This window comes from Homo sapiens, chromosome 4 (genome assembly GCF_000001405.40).
Source record: "Homo sapiens chromosome 4, GRCh38.p14 Primary Assembly".
Lineage (NCBI taxonomy): Eukaryota > Metazoa > Chordata > Mammalia > Primates > Hominidae > Homo > Homo sapiens.
The window spans coordinates 128,455,400-128,468,358 of record NC_000004.12 but is presented as its reverse complement, the minus strand read 5'-3'; the positions used below and the strand labels follow the sequence as shown (position 1 = coordinate 128,468,358).

The 12,959-nt window shown below is 43.4% G+C and overlaps 1 long non-coding RNA gene across 1 annotated transcript in view; it reads right to left on the bottom strand.

The window, feature by feature from the left end:
- Nucleotides 1-12,959, bottom strand: part of LINC02615 (long intergenic non-protein coding RNA 2615) — a 91,383-nt gene that overhangs the window by 51,040 nt on the left and 27,384 nt on the right. The window contains exon 2 of the long non-coding RNA NR_125882.1: nt 1,587-1,751. This is a non-coding gene — a long non-coding RNA (long intergenic non-protein coding RNA 2615). The remainder of the gene's footprint in view (nt 1-1,586; nt 1,752-12,959) is intronic.

Sequence of the window (12,959 nt, the reverse complement as noted above, 5' to 3'; positions counted from 1 at the left end):
ATAAATGGATCTCTAGCCCACCTCTGTTCAATGTTTTCTTGGGCAACACTTACTTATACAGAGGAAAGCATGACAGTCTCTGCTCCTGGCAGGAGAAATAGCACATATAAAAGCACTTAGGAAAGAAAGCACGGGTATAAATAAAAAAATGGATTTTTTTGTTTTTAGGGTTTTTGTCTGTTTTTTTGGCTAAAGAGTAGGATGTGTGAGGGGTGGAGAGGAAAGCCTGGAAACCTAGCAGACTACATTTTAGAGGACCCAGAAGCCAAGATAAGGAGCCCAGACTTGATCTATTAGGCAATGGGAGCCACTAAAGGATTCTGAGTGGAGGAAGCAGTATGGTTAGGGAACAGCATAAGCTGAGGGACCCAGTGGCCCTGGGTTCTCATTCCAGTTTTGCCCCTCATTAGCTTGCATGAATGTGGGCCCATGTGCCTTTTTTGGTGCCTTCCAAACTGTACAATGGAGGTAATAATACCATTTCCAGGGTTATTGCAAACATTACAAATAATATATGTGACATAGCAACCCCAGGGCCTGGCATAGAAAGGATACCTATTAAATGGTGTTAGCTGTTACTACTGCTGTGCTCTGGGTAGGAAGGTTGAAAGGGAAGAGATGGGAGGAGGGAGAGCTTGGAGGTCCAGGCAAGAGGTCCAGAGGGCCTGGACTGGACAGAGTACAGGCAAGGAGGGCGGCAAAGGCAGGATCCAAAAAAATGGAGGCCGAGAAAGAGTAACTTGCACAAAGCCATTTGACAATGACTGGAGGTGAGCAAAGGAGGAAGAGAAGCCACAGAGACTCCAAGGAAAGGCTGAAGTATCATGCAAGTCAGAAAGATACAAACTTCTACACAGATCCAATATAAACAGTTATGTCAATAAATGCCAAACTGAGCCTGGATTTCTGGAATGACTATGGAAATAACCCAAACCATATTTCTTTTCCCATCTGAATTCTTAATAATAACGGCAACTTTCAAATCTGCAGAGTCAGATGATTTGGGTTGTATCATTACTCAGCATCGTACACCAGGCAGCTTCTTCTCCCCACACACCTTTGCCCGGACTCAATTCTTCACCTCACCTCCACTATGGAAGTCTGGCCATTTCCTGGGGCACTTCAACCAGCTTCATTGTCCTCACTCACTTTACAGGCCTGACAGCACACATGACTGCTGATGCTTTCCTCAGCCTGTGACTGCCTTCCCCACAAAACTCACATTCATGGATAACAGGTAGAGAAATACCTGGGACTTCAGAACAGCAGTGCAGCAACTAATAACTTGTCGCACCTGACATTTTCATTAGGTACTGCATTAGAAGTGTCTTCAAGAAGCAGCTTTAGTAATTTTGTAGCACTCTGCTCAGAGGAGATTAATATGACTTACACAGAGGGGCTTCAGCCCCTTGCCCAGCACAAGCTTCCATCCTCCTCCGAGTCAGCTGTGGGTTTCAGCCCTGTCAGCTCCATGTAATTCACAAAGGAATCAGTCCACGGATACTGCCCAGCCATGCAAGTGCCTGCCAGGACACTCAGGGGAAACTTTACAGTGTGTATAAATAAGCTTTAATATTGTAGTATACCTTTTGGGATGCATGTCTAATTTGTTAGAACATGCAGAAGAGCTGACAAACCACTTTGCACCTTTTTGGCAGCATCTGCTTTGCACGGCTGTCTTGGTGAAACACAGGACCTGGGCTCCTATCTTCTTCTTCTTCCACTGAAGTTGTTCTTTTTCTTGAACATCTCTGAGAAAACATTGAATATGGTTTGACTTGGTTTCATCATTCATTCCAGGCCAAATGTCCTGCTGACTTATCTTTAATGAATATGATTGTACTGGCAGTGCAACCTGCCCAACTCCAGAGTAACAACACAAAATATAGTGTCTTGTAGGTATTAAAATGTTTTATGCTTTACAAAGGGAAGTGGGAATTGGGGAGGTGATGACAACATGAGGCCAAAGGTGGTTCACAAGTCACCTCTTCCTAGATAGGAAAGTGCTCCTTCTGAATTCTGCACAGGAAATATTATATTCCTTATCCAGCAGCACTGGGCACAGGGAAGTAAAGACCCAGCTCCTGCATGGCCAATTCGCCACTGGTGTGCCAGTCTTACTTTTTTTTTTTTGAGACAGAGTCTCGCCCTGTCGCCAGGCTAGAGTGCAGTGGCACGATCCCAGCTCACTGCAACCTCCACCTCCCAGGTTCAAGCAATTCTACTGCCTCACCCTCTAGAGTAGCTGGAACTACAGGCACACACTACCATGCCCAGCTATTTTTTTTTTTTTTTTTTGTATTTTTAGTAGAGACGGGGTTTCACCATGCTGGCCAGGATGATCTCAATCTCTTGACCTCGTGATCTGCCCGCCTCGGCCTCCCAAAGTTCTGGGATTACAGGCATGAGCAATCGCACCCGGCCACCGGTCTTACTCTTTACCCTTGGTTCAGACGAATGGAGACTGATAGCCATGGGTAAGGTTTCTACTTTTTGACCTCTGTATGTCACAATAATATTAATGATAAAAATCTAATATTCATTGAGTGCTACTATTTCTATTTTACTCCTCTGCCACCACCTTATGAGATAAGGTGTTATTATTACTCACACTTAACAGAGGAAGATACTGGGCTTTAGAGAGTATATTAGTCAAAGTTCTCCAGAGAAACAGAACCAATAGAATGGATGGATGGATAGATAGATAGATAGATAGATAGATAGATAGATAGACAGACAGACAAGAGCAGGGTTATTACGGAAACTGGCTCATGTGATTATGGAGGCTGAGAAGCCCCATGACAGGTAGTCTGCAAGCTGGAGAACAGAGGAGTCAGTGGTATAGCTCAGTCCAAGTTCCAAGGCCTCAGAATCAGTGAAGACAATGATGTAACTCTTGGTCAGAGGCCAAAGGCCTGAGAACCTGGGGGCTGCTGGTTCAAACGTCCCAGAGTCTGAAGGCCAGAGACCCTGAAGTCCTCATGTACAAGGCAGGAGAAGCTCCAGAAGAGAGAGCAAATTCGCCTTTTCCCTGCCTTTTGGTTCTCTCCAGGCCCTCAGCTGATTTGACGGAGCCCACCCACACTGGGTGAGAGCAGATCTTCCTTTCTCAGTCCACTGACTCAAATGTCAATCTCTCCCAGAAATAATGCTTTACCAACTGTCTGGGAATCCCTTAACCTAGCTGACACCTAAAATTAACCATCACAGAGAGGTAGTAATTTACCCAAGGTCAGACAGCTGGTAACCAAGAAAACTAGAACTCAACCCAGGTCTCTTTTACACCAGAGTTAGATTTAAAAATTACTGTAACTCACTGGAACAATGGCACCCCCAGATTACATTCCAGGAGCATTTACTAGAGAATTCCAGCTTGATATCTACAATTAAAAAAGAAAAAGCCTCAGTGCTTACTGCTGTAAGTTTGACTAGACACACACTTATTAACATAAAATGATCTTAACCATTTCAGGAAAAAGCAGATAACTCTGTGATATTCATTGACTTCCTACTCTATAAAAGGCACACAGCTAATTATCACTAAACGGGGGAGGAGTGTCAAAGAGTAAGATGAGGTCCCTTTCTCAGGGTACCTGCAGCTTAAAAAGATAGACAAGCCCTAAAACCATGCAATTCAAGGTCATATCATGAAAGGCATTGCAAAGGTGGATGTGATTAATTGGCAAATTAACAATACAGAGTAAAAGTGCTAGAGTGATTCAGGTGAGGAAGATTTCTTTTCAAGCAGGAGTAGTCAGGGAAGACAAGAACAGAGATGGGACTCCAGGGGGAACTGGAGGAGGGATAGCCCTTGATGAGGTTGGAGATTGCTAGAAAGTGGAAGGGGCATCCAACAGAAGTGAGAATGCCTGGAGTGGGTGAGAGGGAAAATCAATGCCAGGCAGTAAAAGCATCTTGGCAAGATCTTATGCAGCAAAAGCCTATGCATCTTTTTTCTGATCACCAAAATTTGAATTATCCAAAAGAATATTGAACCAGGTATAATATACTTTATTTTTCATCTAAGAATCTTATTTTTGTGTTTTTAATTAAAAGCTTGTCGTCTTCAAATTAATACACCAGGAGATTTTTTTTAAAACATATCAGTTTCCTCATGTATAAAATTGCCCATTTTGACTTTAAAGTCTAACAATTTGACTACATGATTTTTCTTGATAATATTGTTTAAACAAACTTCTTCTAGTGGGTAAAAGTCAAATAAATTCACCTAGGTGGATCTTTCAGAAGTAGAGGTTATAAATATGATCAGATATTTGTTTACATAATTTATTTACACACTGGGAAAATTAGCCCCTTTGAGGGAGCTGGTTTTCTTCCCAGTGCATTGATTCTCAGTTCCTGTGTGTTTTCTGATGCCTCTCACCCCACTGCAGGCCAGGCCACTGGGAAATTGGTTAACAAGTGATGCCTTTGGATTCTTTGGCATTATTGATCTTCAGGAAATCATGGCTCTCCACTCAAAGTCGGCCTTAGCAAGTTCAGAGTGAATGTGTAAAACAGGGGGTGTCAGAAAAACCTTGGCCTTTTCTTACCCATGATATTGGAGATGAGGACGATAGACTGGGGATCTAAAAATGAGATACAAGACTCTTTGCATCAGCTCTCCACACCTAGGCCTCCTCTGAGACCTAAAAATATACTGTATATGAAATGCACAGCAATAGAGCAAAACCATAAATTAAAAGTATACATTTATTAAGCACCTATCATGGGCCAGACACTGTGCTAAAAGCTTACCTCCATGACTTCACTTGATCTTCATAACTACACTGTGAGGGAAGCTCTTGTATTATATTCATCTTACAGATGAATAATGCAGGATAAGAAAGATTAGGGTGCCCAAAGCCACACAGCCAATGGGAAGGTAGACCTGGGAGTCAGGTCAAGCCTCCTTGGCTCCAGTCTTGTGACCCACTATACCATGCTTGATTGGAATGCAGAGTGAGCCCCGACAGGTAAAGCACAGTGACACACTGACACAGACTGGGTTGTGTCCTCCCAAATTTTGTATAAAGTCCCAACCCCCAAGGTGACTGTATTTCAAGATAGAGCCTTTAAGGGATCATTGTAGTTAAATGAGGTAATAAAGGTGGGGCCCTAATCCTATAGGATTGGTGTCCTTGTAAGAAGAGGAAGAGACACCAGGGTTTCTCTATTTGCATGCAAATAGAGAAAAGACCATGTGAGGACACAGCAAGAAGGCGGCCATCTGCAGGGCAAGAAGAGTGGCCTCAAGAGAAACTAAGTCTGCCAACACCTTGATCTTGGACTTACAGCCTCCAGAGCTGTGAAAAAAAAAAAATTTCTGTTGTTTATGCCACCAATTCTTTGGTATTTTTCATGGCAGTCCTAACAGACTAATACACATACCTTCTGCTATTTCACATTTGGCTTCTCTGCCCCAGCTGGGTCTGCCACAGCTACCCTTGATCCTAACTGTCTTATAGGACTCAAAATCTGGAGTAGGAGGTTTCTAAACCAGTGGGCTATTACATTTGGTTATCATGAAGACCTCTGTTGAAATACTCTGTTGGATCTCAGAACAAGCTGAAGGTGATCTAGGGCAGTGCATTTCAAACTCCCTATGGTGAAGGACCAATTTCCTCTATTCCTTTAGTGACAGATAGGTGATCCTACCATGCACGTCTGGGTAGGCAGCTCCAGTCACAAGTAACTCACCAAGAAAGTGGAACAACATGCCGTTCCATAGTATTTCCTCATCAGATGCTTGGACTTCTCAGCCAAGCAGTGGCGTGCCGCAAATGTTTAGTACCCGGTTCTTAAGGGTGGGAGGAGTCCTGATTTGTAGCATTTGTCAATTTGCATGATAAAAATACCTCCCATTATGGCTGATTTCAAGCTACCACAGTGAAGTTACTGAGCTGCAAAAATGGGAAGAAATGCCCACGATCTCTCTGGCTCTGGCTCTCTTGACTGGTACCACCCACCTCCTGCACATCATTGTAGCAATGTGCAATGCTATAAAGTTTCTAAATACAGACTGTGGATTTCTGTACTTACCTCCTTGCAGGAGGCAAATCACACTTTGCATAACACTGACCTAAATCGCTTAAGCTCAAGAGTCCCCAGAGAGGCCCCCTAAAGTCCATTAGCTCACTGTTTTATTAGGTAAAATTCTGGACTGATAAAGTTCATGCAATGCCCATGCATTGCATAGCAATAGAGCAAAACCTTAAGGTAATAGTGCACATTTATTGAGCATTTTCAGAAACGGCCCATTTAATCATAATTAGCTATGAAAAATGGCAGGAGCTCAGCTCTGGTCTTCTCTCCTTTTTTTCTTCCTTCCCTCTAGAATTATTATCTTAATGGCCTTCTCCTATCTCCTCTTTTACATTTTCCCTTCTCTTGTTCTCCCTTCTCTAAAGGATTGTTCTTCCATTTCCTTTGCCTCTTTTCAACAACATAGTCAAGCACAAGCTTCCCATTGGTCCGCTTTCTTTCCCTACAATTTAACTTTATTGTGAGAATGGATCCTACTCTTTGTTATAAGGAGCAATGAGGGGATAAGCCCACTCAAGCAACTCAAGGGTAAAACCCAAAGCAGGCAACAGCTTTAAGGGCCTGTGGGATTAAAGGCAGATAATGGAGTGTTACTTTAGCCCTCTTTATCCTTGCTTTCCCAGAACCAATTCTGCTTTGTTCTGTTTTCTTTTTTTCAAACAGAGCCAGTCATCAGTAGCATAGCCAAGGCCGTGGCTTACAGAAAAGGGATCAACAGCAACCAGAGTGGGGAGTGACCTATGCTGACATCCAGACAAGAGGTAATTAGAGCTGACCTTGGGAGGTGGCCATGAGAATAGAAACAAAAACACAAATACAAGCCATAAAGCCACACGTGGAAGTAAAATCAACAAGATTGGGCTACTGATTAGAGATGGAACAGCAAGGGCAAGGGAGGAAGACGGCACAAGGTTTCAATGCTGACGGCAGCCACATGAGTCATCCTGGAGCTCAGCTTCAATTGAGTTACTCAAATGAGAAAAAGCCTTGCATGGCTGCAAGCCTACTGCACATACAGTAAAGCCTAAATTCCTATATAAGGACTGCCACAGTTTTGCATCAATTTATCATCGACCTTGGACTCACTCATTCATTCAGCAAACATGTATTGAACAGCTACTATGTATTATGCTGGATCAGGAAATTAAAAATGAGGAAAAAGCACAGTTCCTGAGTTTGAGGAGTTCAGCAGCCTGAAAGGGGTATCCTCCAAATAAATCAATACATACATGCACAGCCTCTGTTCACAATGTTCTCTTCATCTGAAATCCCTACTATTTACTGAGTACCCACTACATGCCAGAGACTGCTCTTGGTCCTGGGGACATGGTTGAGTTACTTCTGCCCATTTCCTAACTAGAGCTGTAGATATATTCATATATTTGTCTGCATAGAGTGCTGAGGTCATGGGGACCACAAGAAGAAGAGAGCCAACACTAGACTCTTGGAGTAATGCTTCTATTTCATGGGTTGGGAAAGGGAGAAGAGCCAGAAGTGATCAGAAGAAAAACCTGAGAGGGAAGAGAAAAACCAATCACAGAAGATGGGAAGTAGAGAGTTTCAAGAATAAAGGAGAATGTGTTCTGTGTTCAGTACAACACAGAGGCTAAGAGAGAAGGCTAAGAAAGTCCCCACACAGTCACTCATTTCTGTTAAAAGATGGCAAAGATTAATGAATAAACTGACAGAAGAAAGGCTAAAGATGCACAACAGAGCAATGCGGTGCTTTACAAAGACTCTGGAGCAGGAATTAGGAAGGTACAGGATTTATGGGCAGGAGTGGAAAGGTTGACCTTGGAAAGAAGAGAGAGACTTCTTCCCCCCAAATTAGAAGAAAATAAATGAATATGCAGACATGAATTCAGGGTGGTCACAGAGGCCCCAAGAAGGGTTTGCAGTCAGCCTCATGTGTGAATCCCAGCTCTGCTACTTACTTTCTGTGATATTGGGCAAGTTATTCGGACCCTCCAAGCCTCAGTTTCTTCACCTACAAAGAGGATATGATAATGCCTTTTTCATAAGGGTGTTGTGAGGATAAGTTGAGAAAATGTATATGCAACCAGCTTCCCCTTTGCCTTACCAGTACATATGGGGTCATCAAAATAAATTCTACTGTCCCTTTCCCCCTCTTTGTTCACACTGTGGTCCTCCACAAAGTGCTCTTGCAAAAGAGCTTGCAAGGGAGCCCACCCCACTGCACTGTGTGGGTCAGCCAAGCCTCTGCTGTCCCAAAACTACTGCAGCTGAGGTCCTGGAACAAACAAGATGTCAAATCCAAACAATGCCATCTTGTCCTACAGAGTGTTCCCAAAGCAGCCTTTTCTGTTTTTACTTAAAGCTTTCCCCAACCCACCCTCTACAAATCTCAGCTAGGGCCTGGCTTGAAACCTGAGTGACAAGTACCATGTTACATCTAGCATTATTCCCTCTCTCCCATGACCAGCTTGCAGTCAAGCTCCTAGCAGGCTCTCTGTCCTTCATATGAATACATTTTTGGTAGGCCCCACATCGCTAATTTGCTAGGTACCTCCTGATATATGTCAGTCTCAATCTAGGCTAGCATAGAACTTAGCACACAGCAGGGACTCGAGAGAAGTGAGTCCTGCATCATGGTTTTATTTATACTTCCGATTTGGGATGCCCCTTCTCCCATTCTCAGTCACATCTGTGTTTTACCCAGGTGCTCAAAGATTGGTGAGCTGGTAAATGTTTAGCAACCAGCCCTCTGGGAGAAACTGCCTGATTTTGTAGTGTTTGCTAATTTCCATGGTGTAAACACTCTCACCATGGCCAATTTCAGTCTACCAACATGATTTCAACCACCTTGCAAAATTCCTGAAAATGTAACAATCAGTTCTTCCAAGCTTGTATGAGCTGTCTCTAGCACACCACTCAACAGGTTACCTGGAAATCCTGACTAGTAGCTTATTGAAGTAGCTCTGAAGTTTGTGTCCATTTAATAAAGCCCTGTGCACATGCAGCTACTGCTTTGTAAAGACAACATCCCACCCCAACTGCACTGCAATGGGGATGAACTATAAGGGCATCAAAGTCTCATTTAGAGACCTTCACTATTTTCATGTGGTTTGAGAAAGGATTATATTTAAATGGCATTTTGGCATTTTGGCATTTTGAGAGAAACAGACACACCCTGACGAGTAAAATCTCAGGGATGATCACTGAACAAAAACACTGTCACCAAGTAAGTAAATAGTGACAAGTTTATAAGATGCTGTTGGCAGTAGCTGGATTTCTCAGTGCTGAACACTTGAGTTGGGCATAGTGGGAGCGGCTGGTTAGCCATTTGTCAGGCTAAGTCAAAACAGCCCTCCAGCTACAGCACAGACGGCAGACTGCAGCTCATCAGCATTTTATTTATGACTCTTAATTAGCAAGCAAAAAAGGAGGGAAGAAGTTCCCAGCTTGGGATATACATACTTATACATATATATTTTTCCCATAAATTATCTTTGTCAAAATAATTTAAATTCCCATGATCCCAAGAGGTAGGCATTATAATTTACATTTTATCAGTAGGAAACTCCATCCTAGAAGGTAAGTGTAATTATCCTAATTTTACCAGTGAAGGTTTAGAGAGGCCAAGTGATTTTTCCTAGGTAACACAGCTAGAACATGGCAGAGCCGGGAGTTGAACCAGTCTTTAGATTCTAATGCAAAAGCTCTTTCAATCATATCATGGTTGGCTCTTACTTGGCATGTTGGAATAATAGTCCATTGACTTGGGCTAAAAGAGCATTGACTACTAAACTCATTACACTTGTGAATAAACTCCTGGTTCTTATGGTTAGAATTGTATCTTTGTTTTTGGTTTTGTGTTTGTTTGTTTTTGAGAGAGTCTTACTCTGTCGCCCAGTGGCACGATCTTGGCTCACTGCAAACACCACCTCCTGGGTTCAAGCGATTCTCGCACCTCAGCCTCCCAAGTAGCTGGGACCACAGACGTGCACCACCATGCCTGGCTAATTTTTATATTTTTAGTAGAGACGGGTATCACCACGTGGGCCAGGCTGGTCTCAAATTCCTGACCTCAAGTGCCTCCCCTGCCCTGGCTGGGATTACAGTCATGAACCACTGAGCCTGGCCTAGAATTGTATCTTTGGAAGGAGGGAAGTTATCGAGTGAGTGTGGAACACAGGACCACTAAGTGAGGCAGGATGACTCCCTGTTTGCTTTTGAAGAACCTGGAGTCTTGCTTTGTGACTGACAGAGTCAATCACAGGGCAGGGAATAAAGATCAGATCCCCAGAGCCCAGGAGTCTGAAGTGACTCTGATGATGGAGAAGGGCTCTGAGCTGCTGGGCCTTTGAGTGACTGTGAGGTGTAAGAAGCATCAGAAGCATGAAAAGGGCTGGCAACTCTAAACACGTCCAATCACTTCCATCAGCCATCTGTTTCTATGGCATTTAGAGAGTGCTACAACTGAGTACTGCTGATCACTGATTTGGTGGAAAATAACCTGATATTTACATAATATTTAAAAATCTAATCTTTAATTATTAATACATAAATCATCTTTAATACGGGTTTGTTTCTTAACTCCTGTGAACCTCAAAGGATAAAGTATTTATATTATTCCCAAGGGTCGTCCCATGCCTTATTAAAGAATGAACTGAAACACAGCAACTTCTGGGCTCTCTGAGGAGGTGTGGTCAGTTCTACAGAGGTCACAAGTATTTTTGGCTCTTGGTTCTTTCCAGAGCCAGGAAAGGACTGCACTTCTCCATCCTCTTGAATGAACTATCTGTTGTAATGTGTGTCACTTCAGGGTGGAAGAGTTAGCTAAGAGTTGGTGAACGATTATCCATGCCAGCTTCCCCTGCCACAGTGATCCCGGCAGCACACACTGAGATGACAGACTGTCTGTCAATTGGGTCCCTGAGTCACTCTGTCAAACAGAATCTCGACTAAGTTTTGGAAGCTGTTGTTACCACTGCATAACTTCACCTATCCTTCTAGGAAAGGAGATTAATTTGGCAGAGGAGGCTAACACACATTACATCTGATATTTCATTAGCCAAAGTAAGTCACATCACCATGCTTAACTTCAAGAGGACAGAGATGAAAAGTAAAAAATAGGAAGTCAAACTCCCAGATGCCTTGAATCCCAGGGGAAATCTGGAATTCCAAGTCCCTGAAAAAGTCATGTCTGGGGTGCTGTTCTTCCTGAAGTGCACAAGAGAAAATTAAAGTTGGAAAATTGGTCAAAATGAATTTATACCTTCAGGTATAGATGACCAGAAAGGATCTAAACTCCTTAGAACTTAATAAGAAATCTCCTGAGCTGAACATGAAATTGAGATTGGGTCAAATCAATTTAACAAACACCCATTGAGTGCCAATTCCTTGTACAATGACAGTGCTGTGTTACACATTGCAGGAAATGCTTAGGAGTATAGAAGCCCTGTCTTTCTTTCAAGGAACTTAATGATCTAATTAGTGAGCTCAAACTCAACACCAGAGAGAACCACATAATAAAACTGTTAAATAAAAGCTTCAAATACTGGTAAATAGGATGCCACAAAGCCAAGCACTTAGTGACAAAATTCACCATATATGGAAATCCCTATCTATATGTTGAAGGGGCTCAGTCACCTCTGAAAACTAACCATAGTTTGCCCTTGCTTCATCCTCACATCTGCAGTTAATACACTCTTGTCAGTGGCTTATGGCTGAGGCTGACTACAAGCGCTACAAGTGGAAGAGATGGAGGGGATGTTCAGGCTCTCAAGAAAAATAGCTGAAGAAGAAAAAGCTCCTCAAGTTCTTGGTGGCTCAACTGGAAGTAGCCAAAAGCAAATAAGCTGCCCGTGGGGCCTGCCTTGTTTTGCCACATGCCCTCAGCATAATAGTGAAAGGACTAGAGGAAGGCCAAGGCCACAGCCAAGAAACTGCAGCATCTGGCAGCTATCTGGCTTTCATACCCCGTGTGCCCCCCTTGCCCTGCTCCAGATGGCTTGGCTGCATCAACCAGGGATGCTGCCAATGCACTGGGCAACAGGTGAGGAGCTCATTGCTGAATATGTCATGGCGCCTAGAAGTAGCACCAAGAGGTAGCACTCGAGAATCTGTCTTTGGATTAAAATGCAAGCTTGAGACCTTATTAAGGAAGACTTGACTATAACAAGGAGACTGGTATCTAACTCAGCCACTCCCCTCCCTCAGCCTAGTCCAAACCAAGCTGCGCTATGCAAAATACATGGCATCATGGTTCAAATGAAGGATCTGTACCTCTTTCCCCAAGTTTCTGGAATCATTGAAGATTGAGTGTAAATTATCACTCTTATGTGTATTCTCCAAGCTTCATGACTGCTTTCTTGTAAAGAAGAAAAGAGGTTCCTTTCTCTCTTCCTAGAGTCTGAGCAACTCACCAGGGTAGTACCCTGACAGCAGGATATCCAGCATCGTTGAGCCTTCCTTTGTATGGGGAAAGGGACAATATGTCAAATTTGGTGTCTACCACATCCACGGTCCTCCTGAAGGGAACAACCATGCCCATAGCCCAGGCTGGGGGACAGCCCTGCACAGGTCTAAAAGTGACTCAAAGGTGGCCAAGCAGAGCCTAACTCATCCCCTGGGAGATGGCCTGGCCTCCAAAGCTCTGTCCAGACAGGAAGAATGCAATTAACTCAGCCAATGAGTCTCTCTTCCCTTCCTCCTTCCCTTCCCCCTCCACACTTCCCTCAAAATTAACCAGGAAATACAGGGAAAATAGTCTCTGAATTGTTAGTGGGACCAGAAGCTAAAAAGATGTACCCAGAGAGCAGGTGCCATGTAGGAAAGCTATGGGACAGAGGGTATGAGGGTGTCAAGGTCAAGACTAAGCTGAAGAAATGAGTTAAGGAAAAGGTACACAGAGTTGAAGGTGAGGCCAAGCAGCCGTAGTGGTGTACACA